Source organism: Homo sapiens, chromosome 7, assembly GCF_000001405.40.
Source record: "Homo sapiens chromosome 7, GRCh38.p14 Primary Assembly".
Lineage (NCBI taxonomy): Eukaryota > Metazoa > Chordata > Mammalia > Primates > Hominidae > Homo > Homo sapiens.
In genome coordinates this window covers 146,008,460-146,023,829 of record NC_000007.14, presented here as the reverse complement: position 1 = coordinate 146,023,829, position 15,370 = coordinate 146,008,460, and the positions used below count along the sequence as shown (strand labels likewise).

Here is a 15,370-nt window from a genome sequence, read left to right as displayed (position 1 = left end):
CATGATTAATTTTATCCAATTAAATCCTGTGTATTCAATTGAATGCTGGTTAATATTTTTCATTAAATTTCTAATAAAAATTCACAAATTCTTGTAATTTCTAAAGTGCATTTCGAAAATGGTAAACATTGCCCTTCACTTAACTATAATGATTTCCATGTTTCATTTTTGTTTTTATTAAAAGAATAAAAGATCTTATCCAAAATCAAGTATCATACCCACTAAGCACAGATGTATCTTTCTAACATTCCCTAAATTCTCAATGTTAATCACATGATAGGGAAAAATGACCAAAATACTAAATTTCTACAATCACGTCACCTATAATGTTAAGTCAATCCTGTTGTCTTGTATCTCAATAAATATATATCTGAGAAATTACAGAACACATCGGTTTTATCAACTCCGTTTTCTCTGAGCCTGATCTTTGTTCTGACTTTTATTCTATAAGGATATGAATAAAACTTTTTAACACAACTAGAGTGACCCCAAACCCTTCTTCCTGTATCAGTCCATGAGAAGGGAATATGAAAATAGATTTCAAGAAATCTAGCACATCAAGAAAAAATAGATTTTGTTCTAACACTTTATTATAATATTTTTAAACATACAGCAATGTTAAAAGAATTTACGGTGAACAGCCATTACCTAGATTTCAAAATTAACATTTTTCTATAAATGCTTTATCAAATAGACTTTATTCTATCCAGTTACTAATACGTCTTATTTTTGGTGCACTTCAAAGTTGCAGACATCACTAAACTTTCCCTTAATCTCTCAGCATGTGCATAATTAACTAAAGCTCCTTGGCTTAAGTGCTTTCTTGGCCCATATTAAAGCTACTTGTGAGCCAAAGACACGGTGTGTGTGTGTGTGTGTGTGTGTGTATCGCAAAAACGCTCTATAGATACCTAGTGCTGTGCTTGATACCCTACCTATGAGCTTATATGTATTACACGTGTTAAACAACTTCAGTTCCCAATCCTAACAATTAATCTAAACAGACCATTTAGTTACTAAGTTTTTTGAAACCTTTTTTAAAACACTTAAACTTATTTTTGATGCCATACATATGGGTTCATATTTTATAATTAAAGACTGCTTTAAGCAGTATGTTCTCATGCGTTTTTGTTTCAGGTGATGTATTTTATTTCAGATTATTCTATTCCCCCTAAATTACATAGCACCTGAAGAAAGCAGACTTCCTGCTGGCGTATTAAGACAAAGGCTAAATGCACTGACCCTTATTAGACATGACCTAATATTGTGTGAGTACAGTCCCTCATCCTGTGACAGAAAATGATTTATTTTTTGCAATCAAGGTTGTATTTAATTTCAAAATCCATTAATGATCTTATTAATCAACGCGTTACTATTTTGAATAATTTATGTAATAATGCAATGGCACAAGGAGAATAAAATGGCAAGTCCTGTATTTGTCAGGTACACTCACTGAAGTTGTTCTGAGGCCAGATTTTGTGAGTTGAGTCATATTCAAATTATTGGATGGCTAGTTATAAAATCACTGACCAATTAGAATAAGCTGCAGCTTATAAAACTCACGCAGAGTCAGTCCTCTAACGTTTTACCTCCTGGATGATAAACAGGTCTGGGTTACACGGGGGATGCAGCAGGTCTGCAAGGATGGCAGGAGACCACCCCAGGTTCCGAGCAGGCTACAACCTGACAAATACAACAGCATCCAACATTTAAGCAACTGCTCCAGCTCTCCTGGTGTGTATGGCCTGAATGTTAGGCCCATTGTTTAGATGAAAATCTAAATAGGATGCTTTGTACTGCAAATGTTCTTTCATTCGAGTTCAGGGGCAATGCCAAAGAAAAAGTTGTCTTCTCACTATTTTTAATTATATGCTGGACTTTTGTATTTTTAAAATGTCATTGCACTTTCTGCTCTTAGGGACACTGCTCTTTCCTCTAGAGCAGGAAACGTGAAATAAGTTAGCCAAATTACTGAATGCTGAAATAAAGATAGATCAGTGAGGAGAGACAAAGTAATTAGAGGATGAAAGGAAAATAGATGAAGGAACGTCAGTTAATCGTGGCATTGTTGTTATAATCTTAGTATTTTCTATTGCAATCCATTAAAAATAAGGAGCAGTTCATTAAAGGAAACAGAAGGCATAGGGATTATCTCAGTAAAACACAAGGCTACTAAAGTAGTATTCTCTAGAAATGAGAATTTTCAACTCTTCATGTACCATAATGTTTACTAACGAGAAGTTTTCTTTCATGATAGCTCCAGCTAATAGCACCAAATAAACTCTGATTGCTTTCACTGCCCTTTGGAAGGTAAATCCTTTATGTGTGTGTGTATATATATATGCACACATATATATATATACACACATATATATACACACACATATATATATCATCCTAATTGTACACACACATATATATGCACAAATAATTATTCTAGTGTTATTTGAATAATTAACTATTTCATATTTCAAACTTTATTTTGTGGAGTTCAGACGGGTTCTGAAATACCGAAAACTGAAAAAAAAAAACAAAAAATCCCAATCACATCAGCAAAAAAAAAAACATAATAATAAACAAATAAAAAGTGTCACCTAAGAATTTCAAAGTGAAAGATTGTTTTAAGAAAATCAAACATATTATACATATTCTAGTATATATGTGTGTATATATATATATATATACATATATATATGCATGTATACACATGTGCAGTAGAGATCAAAGGAAATACAAATGATTATGATTTTACCAAAGATAAAGATACACAGACGAAGAGAGAGACTCCTGGGGAGCGAATGTTGGCGGGAGCAGATCCTAGCGGTACTAATGTGCAGAAGGAGGTGCCTCTACTGAATCTATGACGTCTTTCTTCGTCAGACCTGACTACAGTTCTATCTCTCCTAAGCCTATGTACACACTATCTGCACTTTTCCTTTCAAAATGACTTACTTGGAGCCATTTGATGTACTAGATTGTTAAGATACGAAGAAAATAATGTTTAAGAATAAATTTCAGAAGTCAAGTTTTAAAATGGTAGAGACAGACCTGTATGAAGGTAAGCTTAGGATATACAACTATTATATATCTCCATTTCCAAAAATCTTCTGAGAGTCAACCACACAGGATTTAAATGACAAATATTAGCGTAGTCTCTATTTTAGAGATGCAGGGAGGAAGTAGATTCTGTTTGAGAGATGGAACTTGAGGATGAGTACAGATTCAGGAAAAAAATGTGCTAAGAATTATGAGATGAGTCTCACAGTGAGCCCTGCTGCCTGAATGCTGATAGATTAAGAAATAGGACAAATGGCAAATAGCCTGGAGAAAAACTAAGTGAAAGAGATCTTAGTGATGGGAAATATACCTTTATTTCTTCAGAACTTCTCTCACCTGCATCCATATCAGAACTGTGTATAAAACTTCAGATTCTCTTAACTGTGTCCTAGGCAGCCACTCAGCCCGTCAGCTGGAATTGGCACAGGAGTTGGACCATATGTGCAAACTCTCGTCTGGGTAAATATGTAGAGGCAAAGAGCAGCACATGGTGGCAAGGGTGTTCGACTACATTAATGTGAATGTTATTTCAAATATTTATTATTTAAATAATTGTATATTATAATAATGCAATTAATGTAATGAGAAATTGCCTAGGCCAAGGAAAATCTAAATTTCATTGACTCCATAAGAATATAACTATCTAAAATATATGTAATGTGATATAGTGGAGACAGCATCAGGAAGAATGCATAATCATTTTTTATTTACATCATAATTTATTCTTATTAATAAAGTATCATATTTACATTACCTCAGCAAAACATAAGCCTACTGAAGTGATGTTATCCAGAAAGGAGAATGTTCAACTCTTCATGTGCCATAAGGTTTACACACAAGCAACTTTCTTTCATAATTTGTTTAGCTAATAGCACCAATTAAACTCTGTTTAATTGATGAATTAGCTGAACCCTCTAGCCTGTCTGCCAGAAGCAAATTTTAATTTTCACTAGAAGGTGTTAATAGCATTAAGAGCCTCAACATAGCTCTGTATATTTTAATATGTAATGTATGGTACAAATGTGTAAATACATACAAGAAGATAATATATAGCATAGACAAAATAACCCAGAAAATATAAAAAGTAACACAGGAAATGAACATAACTAAGTTACAAAACATAGATTTAAAAATAAACAGAAATCAACAGAAGTAAAAGACAAAATAGAGAAATTTGTCAGAGGAGGAGCCAAGATGACCGAATAGGAACAGCTCCGGTCTACAGGTCCCTGCGTGAGCTACGCAGAAGACGGGTGATTTCTGCATTTCCATCTGAGGTACCGGGTTCATCTCACTAGGGAGTGCCAGACAGTGGTCGCAGGTCAATGGGTGCGCGCACTGTGCGCGAGCCGAAGCAGGGCGAGGCATTGCCTCACTCGGGAAGCGCAAGGGGTCAGGGAGTTCCCTTTCCAAGTCAAAGAAAGGGGTGACGGATGCACCTAGAAAATCGGGTCACTCCCACCCGAATATTGCGCTTTTCGGACCGGCTTAAAAAACGGCGCACCACGAGATTATATCCCGCACCTGGCTCAGAGGGTCCTACGCCCACAGAGTCTCGCTGATTGCTAGCACAGCAGTCTGAGATCAAACTGCAAGGCGGCAGCGAGGCTGGGGGAGGGGCGCCCGCCATTGCCCAGGCTTCCTTAGGTAAACAAAGCAGCCCGGAAGCTCGAACTGGGTGGGGCCCACCACAGCTCAAGGAGGCCTGCCTGCCTCTGTAGGCTCCACCTCTGGGGGCAGGGCACAGACAAACAAAAAGACAGCAGTAACCTCTGCAGACTTAAATGTCCCTGTCTGACAGCTTTGAAGAGAGCAGTGGTTCTCCCAGCACGCAGCTGGAGATCTGAGAACGGGCAGACTGCCTCCTCAAGTGGGTGGCTGACCCCTGACCCCAGAGCAGCCTAACTGGGAGGCACCCCCCAGCAGGGGCACACTGACACCTCACACGGCAGGGTATTCCAACAGACCTGCAGCTGAGGGTCCTGTCTGTTAGAAGGAAAACTAACAAACAGAAAGGACATCCACACCAAAAACTCATCTGTACATCACCATCATCAAAGACCAAAAGTAGATAAAACCACAAAGATGAGGAAAAAAACAGAACAGAAAAACTGGAAACTCTAAAACGCAGAGCGCCTCTCCTCCTCCAAAGGAACGCAGTTCCTCACCAGCAACGGAACAAAGCTGGATGGAGAATGACTTTGACGAGCTGAGAGAAGAAGGCTTCAGACGATCAAATTACTCTGAGCTATGGGAGGACATTCAAACCAAAGGCAAAGAAGGTGGAAACTTTGAAAAAAATTTAGAAGAATGTATAACTAGAATAACCAATACAGAGAAGGGCTTAAAGGAGCTGATGGAGCTGAAAACCAAGGCTCGAGAACTACATGAAGAATGCAGAAGCCACAGGAGCCGATGCAATCAACTGGAAGAAAGGGTATCAGCGATGGAAGATGAAATGAATGAAATGAAGCGAGAAGGGAAGTTTAGAGAAAAAAGAATAAAAAGAAATGAGCAAAGCCTCCAAGAAATATGGGACTATGAGAAAAGACCAAATCTACGTCTGATTGATGTACCTGAAAGTGAAGGGGAGAATGCAACCAAGTTGGAAAACACTCTGCAGGATATTATCCAGGAGAACTTCCCCAATATAGTAAGGCAGGCCAACGTTCAGATTCAGGAAATACAGAGAACGCCACAAAGATTCTCCTCGAGAAGAGCAACTCCAAGACACATAATTGTCAGATTCAACAAAGTTGAAATGAAGGAAAAAATGTTAAGGGCAGCCAGAGAGAAAGGTCGGTTTACCCTCAAAGGGAAGCCCATCAGACTAACAGCGGATCTCTTGGCAGAAACCCTACAAGCCAGAAGAGAGTGGGGGCCAATATTCAACATTCTTAAAGAAAATAATTTTCAACCCAGAATTTCATATCCAGCCAAACTAAGCTTCATAAGTGAAGGAGAAATAAAATACTTTACACACAAGCAAATGCTGAGAGATTTTGTCACCACAAGGCCTGCCCTAAAAGAGCTCCTGAAGGAAGCCCTAAACATGGAAAGAAACAACCGGTACCAGCCGCTGCAAAATCATGCCAAAATGTAAAGTCCATCGAGACTAGGAAGAAACTGCATCAACTAACGAGCAAAATAACCAGCTAACATCATAATGACAGGATGAAATTCACACATAACAATATTAACTTTAAATGTAAATGGACTAAATACTCCAATTAAAAGACACAAACTGGCAAATTGGATAAAGAGTCAAGACCCATCAATGTGCTGTATTCAGGAAACCCATCTCACGTGCAGAGACACACATAGGCTCAAAATAAAAGGATGGAGGAAGATCTACCAAGCAAATGGAAAACAAAAAAAGGCAGGGGTTGCAATCCTAGTCTCTGATAAAACAGACTTTAAACCAACAAAGATCAAAAGAGACAAAGAAGGCCATTACATAATGGTAAAGGGATCAAATTCAACAAGAAGAGCTAACTATCCTAAATATATATGCACCCAATACAGGAGCACCCAGATTCATAAAGCAAGTCCTGAGTGACTTACAAAGAGACTTAGACTCCCACACATTAATAATGGGAGACTTTAACACCCCACTGTCAACATTAGACAGATCAACGAGACAGAAAGTCAACAAGGATACCCAGGAATTGAACTCAGCTCTGCACCAAGCGGACCTAATAGACATCTACAGAACTCTCCACCCCAAATCAACAGAATATACATTTTTTTCAGCACCACACCACACCTATTCCAAAATTGACCACATACTTGGAAGTAAAGCTCTCCTCAGCAAATGTAAAAGAACAGAAATTATAACAAACTATCTCTCGGACCACAGTGCAATCAAACTAGAACTCAGGATTAAGAATCTCACTCAAAACCACTCAACTACATGGAAACTGAACAACCTGCTCCTGAATGACTACTGGGTACATAACGAAATGAAGGCAGAAATAAAGATGTTCTTTGAAACCAACGAGAACAAAGACACAACATACCAGAATCTCTGGGACGCATTCAAAGCAGTGTGTAGAGGGAAATTTATAGCACTAAATGCCCACAAGAGAAAGCAGGAAAGATCCAAAATTGACACCCTAACATCACAATTAAAAGAACTAGAAAAGCAAGAGCAAACACATTCAAAAGCTAGCAGCAGGCAAGAAATAACCAAAATCAGAGCAGAACTGAAGGAAATAGAGACACAAAAAACCCTTCAAAAAATTAATGAATCCAGAAGCTGGTTTTTTGAAAGGATCAACAAAATTGATAGACTGCTAGCAAGAATAATAAAGAAAAAAAGAGAGAAGAATCAAATAGACACAATAAAAAATGATAAAGGGGATATCACCACCGATCCCACAGAAATACAAACTACCATCAGAGAATACTACAAACACCTCTACGCAAATAAACTAGAAAATCTAGAAGAAATGGATAAATTCCTCGACACATACACTCTCCCAAGACTAAACCAGGAAGAAGTTGAATCTCTGAATAGACCAATAACAGGATCTGAAATTGTGGCAATAATCAATAGTTTACCAACCAAAAAGAGTCCAGGACCAGATGGATTCACAGCTGAATTCTACCAGAGGTACAAGGAGGAACTGGTACCATTCCTTCTGAAACTATTCCAATCAATAGAAAAAGAGGGAATCCTCCCTAACTCATTTTATGAGGCCAGCATCATTCTGATACCAAAGCCGGGCAGAGACACAACTAAAAAAGAGAATTTTAGACCAATATCCTTGATGAATATTGATGCAAACATCCTCAATAAAATACTGGCAAACCGAATCCAGCAGCACATCAAAAAGCTTATCCACCATGATCAAGTGGGCTTCATCCCTGGGATGCAAGGCTGGTTCAATATACGCAAATCAATAAATGTAATCCAGCATATAAACAGAGCCAAAGACAAAAACCACATGATTATCTCAATAGATGCAGAAAAAGCCTTTGACAAAATTCAACAACCCTTCATGCTAAAAACTCTCAATAAATTAGGTATTGATGGGACGTATTTCAAAATAATAAGAGCTATCTATGACAAACCCACAGCCAATATCATACTGAATGGGCAAAAACTGGAAGCATTCCCTTTGAAAACTGGCACAAGACAGGGATGCCCTCTCTCACCACTCCTATTCAACATAGTGTTGGAAGTTCTGGCCAGGGCAATTAGGCAGGAGAAGGAAATAAAGGGTATTCAATTAGGAAAAGAGGAAGTCAAATTGTCCCTGTTTGCAGACGACATGATTGTATATCTAGAAAACCCCATTGTCTCAGCCCAAAATCTCCTTAAGCTGATAAGCAACTTCAGCAAAGTCTCAGGATACAAAATCAATGTGCAAAAATCACAAGCATTCTTATACACCAATAACAGACAAACAGAGAGCCAAATCACGAGTGAACTCCCATTCACAATTGCTTCAAAGAGAATAAAATACCTAGGAATCCAACTTACAAGGGACGTGAAGGACCTGTTCAAGGAGAACTACAAACCACTGCTCAAGGAAGTAAAAGAGGATACAAACAAATGGAAGAACATTCCATGCTCATGGGTAGGAAGAATCAATATGGTGAAAATGGCCATACTGCCCAAGGTAATTTACAGATTCAATGCCATCCCCATCAAGCTACCAATGACTTTCTTCACAGAATTGGAAAAAACTACTTTAAAGTTCATATGGAACCAAAAAAGAGCCTGCATCGCCAAGGCAATCCTAAGCCAAAAGAACAAAGCTGGAGGCATCACACTACCTGACTTCAAACTATACTACAAGGCTACAGTAACCAAAACAGCATGGTACTGGTACCAAAACAGAGATATAGATCAATGGAACAGAACAGAGCCTGCAGAAATAATGCCACATATCTACAACTATCTGATCTTTGACAAACCTGAGAAAAGCAAGCAATGGGGAAAGGATTCCCTATTTAATAAATGGTGCTGGGAAAACTGGCTAGCCATATGTAGAAAGCTGAAACTGGATCCCTTCCTTACACCTTATACAAAAATCAATTCAAGATGGATTAAAGACTTAAATGTTAGACCTAAAACCATAAAAACCCTAGAAGAAAACATAGGCATTACCATTCAGGACATAGGCGTGGGCAAGGACTTCATGTCCAAAACACCAAAAGCAATGTCAACAAAAGACAAAATTGACAAATGGGATCTAATTAAACTAAAGAGCTTCTGCACAGCAAAAGAAACTACCATCAGAGTGAACAGGCTACCTACAAAATGGGAGAAAATTTTCACAACCTACTCATCTGACAAAGGGCTAATATCCAGAATCTACAATGAACTCAAACAAATTTACAAGAAAAAAAAAACAACCCCATCAAAAAGTGGGCGAAGGACATGAACAGACACCTCTCAAAAGAAGACATTTATGCAGCCAAAAAACACATGAAAAAATGCTCATCTTCACTGGTCATCAGAGAAATGCAAATCAAAACCACAATGAGATACCATCTCACACCAGTTAGAATGGCGATCATTAAAAAGTCAGGAAACAACAGGTGCTGGAGAAGATGTGGAGAAATAGAAACACTTTTACACTGTTGGTGGGACTATAAACTAGTTCAACCATTGTGGAAGTCAGTGTGGCGATTCCTCAGGGATCTAGAACTAGAAATACCATTTGACCCAGCCATTCCTTTACTGGGTATATACCCGAAGGACTATAAATCATGCTGCTATAAAGACACATGCACAGCTATGTTTATTGTGGCATTATTCACAATAGCAAAGACTTGGAACCAACCCAAATGTCCAACTATGATAGACTAGATTAAGAAAATGTGGCACATATACACCATGGAATACTATGCAGCCATAAAAAATGATGAGTTCATTTCCTTTGTAGGGACATGGATGAAATTGGAAATCATCATTCTCAGTAAACTATCGCCAGAACAAAAAACCAAACACCGCATATTGTCACTCATAGGTGGGAATTGAACAATGAGATCACATGGACACAGGAAGGGGAATATCACACTCTGGGGACTGTGGTGGGGTGGGGGGAGGGGGGAGGGTTAGCATTGGGAGATATACCTAATGCTAGATGACGAGTTAGTGGGTGCAGCACACCGGCATGGCACATGTATACGTATGTAACTAACCTGCACAATGTGCACATGTACCCTAAAACTTAAAGTATAATTTAAAAAAAAAAAAAAAAGAAATTTGTCACAGAACTAGAAACTGTAAAGGCAATTTTAGAGCAATTAATATGCAGTAACAAGTTAAGAAATCACAGTCAGAGTTTAATGGCAGACAAGACACAATCCAAGAAATTATTATCAAACTACAAGATAGATTCAAATAAAATATGTAAATAGAAACAGCACAACAAAAAGAGCAAATTTTCAAACGTGTAAAAGACATATAGGATTGCATGATGAAGTCTAACATAAGTGTTACTGGAGTGTTAGAAAGAAAAAAGGCAGAAGCTTCTAGAATAAGAAGAGTGTCCCATAAATATATACACCAACTATATACCAATAAAAATTAAAAACACAAAATAAAGAAGTCATACCTTCAAATGAACAACAGTATATTTAACAGCTGAAATTCCAACCAAAAAATTGGGAGGGGCTGTTCACAGTGGCTCACACCTGTAATGCCAGCACTTTGGGAGGCCAGGGTAGGCAGATCACTTGAGATCAGGAGTTTGAGACCAGCCTGATCCACATGATGAAATCTCCGTTCCTATTAAAAATTTTAAAAATTATCTGGGCATGGTGGTACATGCCTATAATCCCAGCTATTCGGGAGGCTAAGGTGGGATAATCACTTGAACCCAGGAAGCAGAGGTTGCAGTGAGCCGAGATTGCACCATTGCACTCCAGCCTGGGTGACAAAAGCGACTGCTTCTCAAAAAAATAAAACAAAAATTTAAACAAAGAATTAGAAGCTAGAAAACAAGGGAATGACTATCTTTACGATGTTAAAATAACTATCAACCTCAAATTTTAAACACACACGTACTACAAGAATAAAGTGGGATGAAATGATCATTTTAGACCAGAAAAGAAAAGCTTAAAGAATCTGTCACCAGTAGAAACATACCACAAAAACGCTGGAAGATACTCTTCAGGAAGAAGATGATCATGCAGATGCTTTGCTAACATTTTCCAGTTTATAGGTGGTGTATTATCTTGTATATAGTGTATGTGTGTGTATATCTATGTCTCTATCTACACACAAAGCTCCCTTAATTGAGCTTAGTATGTTTTTTTCTGGGTGCTTTCATGATCTGGGTAACTGAGATGTAGCTAGGTTTACAGTAGTGCTAACATTATTTTGTGGTTTGTCTTTGTTTTTAGCTATTCATTTTAACATGGCGGGCAAAAGGCAAAGCTTCAAGTGTTTTGGTTCAGCCTGAACTGAAATGGTTTTAATGAAGTGGTGTGGCTGATCCTCAATGATTGGGGGAATGTGTTCAGTTACAGCATTTAGGCAACTAAAACGATTCCCATATAAATGAATACCCATTCATTTATTTAACATATGTTTTATTGACTACCACCCATTAGATTGGTTATTTTAAGTAATATAGATACATTAATAAACAGACAGAAAATAACTCCCGTCTTCATGAAGTTTAAATTATCTTTGGGGAAACACATAAACTTACAATATTTCTAATAAGTAATATCGTAAGTCAGGATGATAAGTTTTATGGAGAGATGAAACAGAAAAGGGAATTAGGAGATGTGGGCACATGTGTGGAGTTGTGATTTAATAAGCATATTTGGAGAAGACCTCGCTGAGAATGTGACATGCATCAGAAACTTAAAGGAAAAGAGAACAGACCATAAAATATAAGTGTTACTTCACTTAGAATAGTGGTCTCCAATTCCATCCAGGTTGAATGGGAAACCAAACACTGTTATGTTCTCACTCATAAGCGGGAGCTAAGCTATGAGGAAACAAAGGCATAAGAATGACACAATGGACTTTGGGAACTTGGGGGAAAGGGTGGGAGGGGGATGAGGAATAAAAGACTACACATTAGGCACAGTCTACACTGCTTGGGTGACAGGTGCATCACAATCTTAGAAGTCACCATTAAAGGCTGGGTGCGGTGGCTCACGCCTGTAATTCCAGCACTGTGGGAGGACAAGGCAGGTGAATCATTTGAGCTCAGGAGTTCGAGACCAGACTGACCAACATGGTGAAACCCCATCTTTACTAAAATACAGAAATTAGCCAGGCATGGTGGCTGGCACCTGTAATCTCAGCTACTTGGGAGGCTGAGGCAAGAGAGTTGCTTGAACCCAGGAGGTGGAGGTTGCAGTGAGCCCAAGATCACGCCACTGCACTCCAGCCTGGGCAACAGAGTGAGACTCCCTCTTGGGAAAAAAAAAAAAAGCACCACTAAAAAACTTATTCATGTAACCAAACACTGCCTGGTCCCCAAAAACCTACTGACATAATAAAAAAAAAAAAGAACATATAAAGAGAGTGGGTTCCAGAGAAAATGGTTCTTACAGCCCTTATAAAGATTTGGCTTTAATCTTTATAGAGATTTATATCTTTATAGAGATTTTAATCTTTATAGAGATTTATATCTTTATAGAGATTTTAATCTTTATAAATATTTGGCTTTAACCTCGTGGAAAGTCAGAAGCAATTGTAAAGTTTTGAACAAAGAAGTGACAAGGTGACTTTCATTTAGATAAGCTGTGTTCAGAACAGACTGGCAAAGTAGAGACTACAGGAAGAATCAATGGCAACAGTTGGAAAGTGATGTCCACGTGAGACATGATGGTTCTTTAACTGGGCAGGCAGCTCTAGAAGTGGGGATAAATGGGAGGATCTGGGATACATTCTGAAGGTAGAGCTGGCAGGATTTGCTGGTGTATTGGAGTCAAGGAAGCCTTCCAAAGTTTTTGGTCTGAGCCACTGAAGAATGAAGATGTTATCCACCGATTAAGGTTGGTGTTCAGAAGAGCAGTTTGGGAGGGCAATTTTAATGTTTTCTAGTGTTATTCCAAATAACAATAAAATTTGCTTCAAAGAATTTCCTGTGCAAAATTTAAGTGTATTGTGGGAATGACCATTTGGATTACTTATAAAAAGTGATTTATTATTTTCATTTCCTCAAAGTATTTTAAGCCAAATTTAACATCAACTAATCTCTTGAGCTTCAGTTTTCTCATTTGTAGAAAGTAAATGCTTCCATGAGAATGAAATGAAAGAAAAAAATATATTTAAGGCATTTGACACATAGTAGGCATACTCTCTCCCTTTCCTTTATAGCTCCGTAACATTTAAGAACATACTTTTTGTGGCATATTGTTCAATTCATACTGAGAAATGTCCAAGAGAGGCATAATGAAAATGGTGAAGACATGTTACAAAAGAGCTAAACTTTAAAAATATAGAATAAAAAAGATAAAATGATATATAGATATTGTTGAATTCTGCAAGATGTTCCAAACCTGGGTAGTATTATTATGAATTATAGGAGATATATGCTTCCAGAATTTGGACTGCAATGTATACAACAATGACTGAAAAGCAGAGTTTCAAATAAGATTTTGACAAATATGCTGTCAGTGTAGTATAATTATATTATAAATTATAGGTTATGGAATGTTTAGTAGGCACTAAGCTTTGTGCTAAGCACTTTTACAGCCTTTTCTCATTTATTCCTTCTAACATACCTACAAAATATAATTTCTTCCATTTTTATAAATAAGAAATAACTGAGAGAGGCTGTATAGTGTATAATGCAGCCAATAAGTTCTAGAACAGGGATTTAAAACTATCTTGAGCCCATGCAATAGGCTATTAAAATATAGTGCACTAGAAGCAGAAGGAAAAGTCCTGTATAGAAGTTTAGAATATAGAATTTAAAGACTGAGAATGATAAAATAGTGGCAGTGCAAGAGACTTTAAAACTTTGATGCATTTGAAAATGTTTTCAAGAACGAGCATGTTTTAATTTTAATAACCAGAAAAAAAGTATAAAAATAAAATCTGATAACCAAGTAATACAATTAACTATCTAGCCTTCTAACTTATGAACTGAAGCCTTGAAAAATCATAAGACAATTGTCTGGGCATGTTCCAAACATAAGCACCCAATTCTTTTAATCCTTCACTCTGTTTCTCAGCAGTTCAAATATCCTTTGATCAAGATCTTCCCTGCTTCAATTTGTGTTGGCCCTGAAGTAACCTCTTTGACTATGGTTTCTTTCAGAGTATTTAGAACCCCTTTTCTTCTTAAGATGCTTTTCACCTTCCCTGCTCAGTTCATTTCTTTCAGGACTGTTATTCTCTTATATGACTTTCACGGCATATTGAACCTGGACTTTACCCATCTTCCTGCTCTTCTTTCATTTTGGTGCAAACAGTTCTCTCCGTCATTGCTTTATTTCCTATCCTTCTCCTTACACACTACAGCATTTTTTCCCAGGCCTAAACATTTTTTGAATTCTAGAAACAGCCTGCACAACCTGCTAAATAAAATAAGCTTTAAATAAAGCATTTTCTGCACCCTGGCCTTTAAAGCAGTTAGCCTGACTAATCTTGTGAACAAAACAAACCTTTCTACAGGGTAATCTCTCAGGCTGAGCGGTTTCAAACTGAAATACAAAGATGTTAGGTTATTTTATTGTATCAACAATTTCTCTGACTACACATTCAGGAATATAGGCACATTTCTTATCTATAAAATATGCAAATATATCATAGAATTTCAGTGTTGGAAGAAGCCCTGAATATTATCCTGTTGCAGTTTAATCACCCAACTAATGTTGGATCACTTCAGCACTTCCCTCACTGAGCAAAGTTCTGCCAGTGCTTGGAAAATTCTAGTAAACACCAAGCAGGAGATATTGTTGCCGTGCTTGGCTGTTCATCTCCCATTGTCATAGTAAAACTCATCTCCCTGCAGAGTCCCTAAAGATTTTAGTTAATTGTTTTTAGTTCTTCTGTTTTTTTTTTTTTTTTTTTAGACGGAATTTCGCTCTTGTTACCCAGGCTAGAGTGCAACGGCACGATCTCAGCTCACTACAACCTCCGCCTCCCAGGTTCAAGTGATTCTCCTGCCTCAGCCTCCTGAGCTGAGTAGCTGGGATTACAGCCACCACCACTACGCCCGGCTAATTTTTTGTATTATTTGTAGAGACAGGGTTTCACCATGTTAGCCAGGCTGGTCTTGAACTCCTGACCTCAGCTGATCCACCCACCTTGGTCTCCCAAAGTGCCGGGATTACAGGCGCGAGCCACCGCGCCCAGCCCTCCCTGGATTTTTACCTGGTA

General features: G+C 37.9%; 1 annotated feature.

Annotated features, from left to right (window-relative positions):
* Window positions 4,529–5,118: an enhancer, noted in NCBI's record as "H3K27ac-H3K4me1 hESC enhancer chr7:145715805-145716394 (GRCh37/hg19 assembly coordinates)". NCBI's record gives its function as "activates a minimal SCP1, AML or CMV promoter by ChIP-STARR-seq in primed H9 embryonic stem cells {active_cell/tissue: H9 hESC(primed)}" and the evidence as "EXISTENCE:reporter gene assay evidence [ECO:0000049][PMID:30033119]".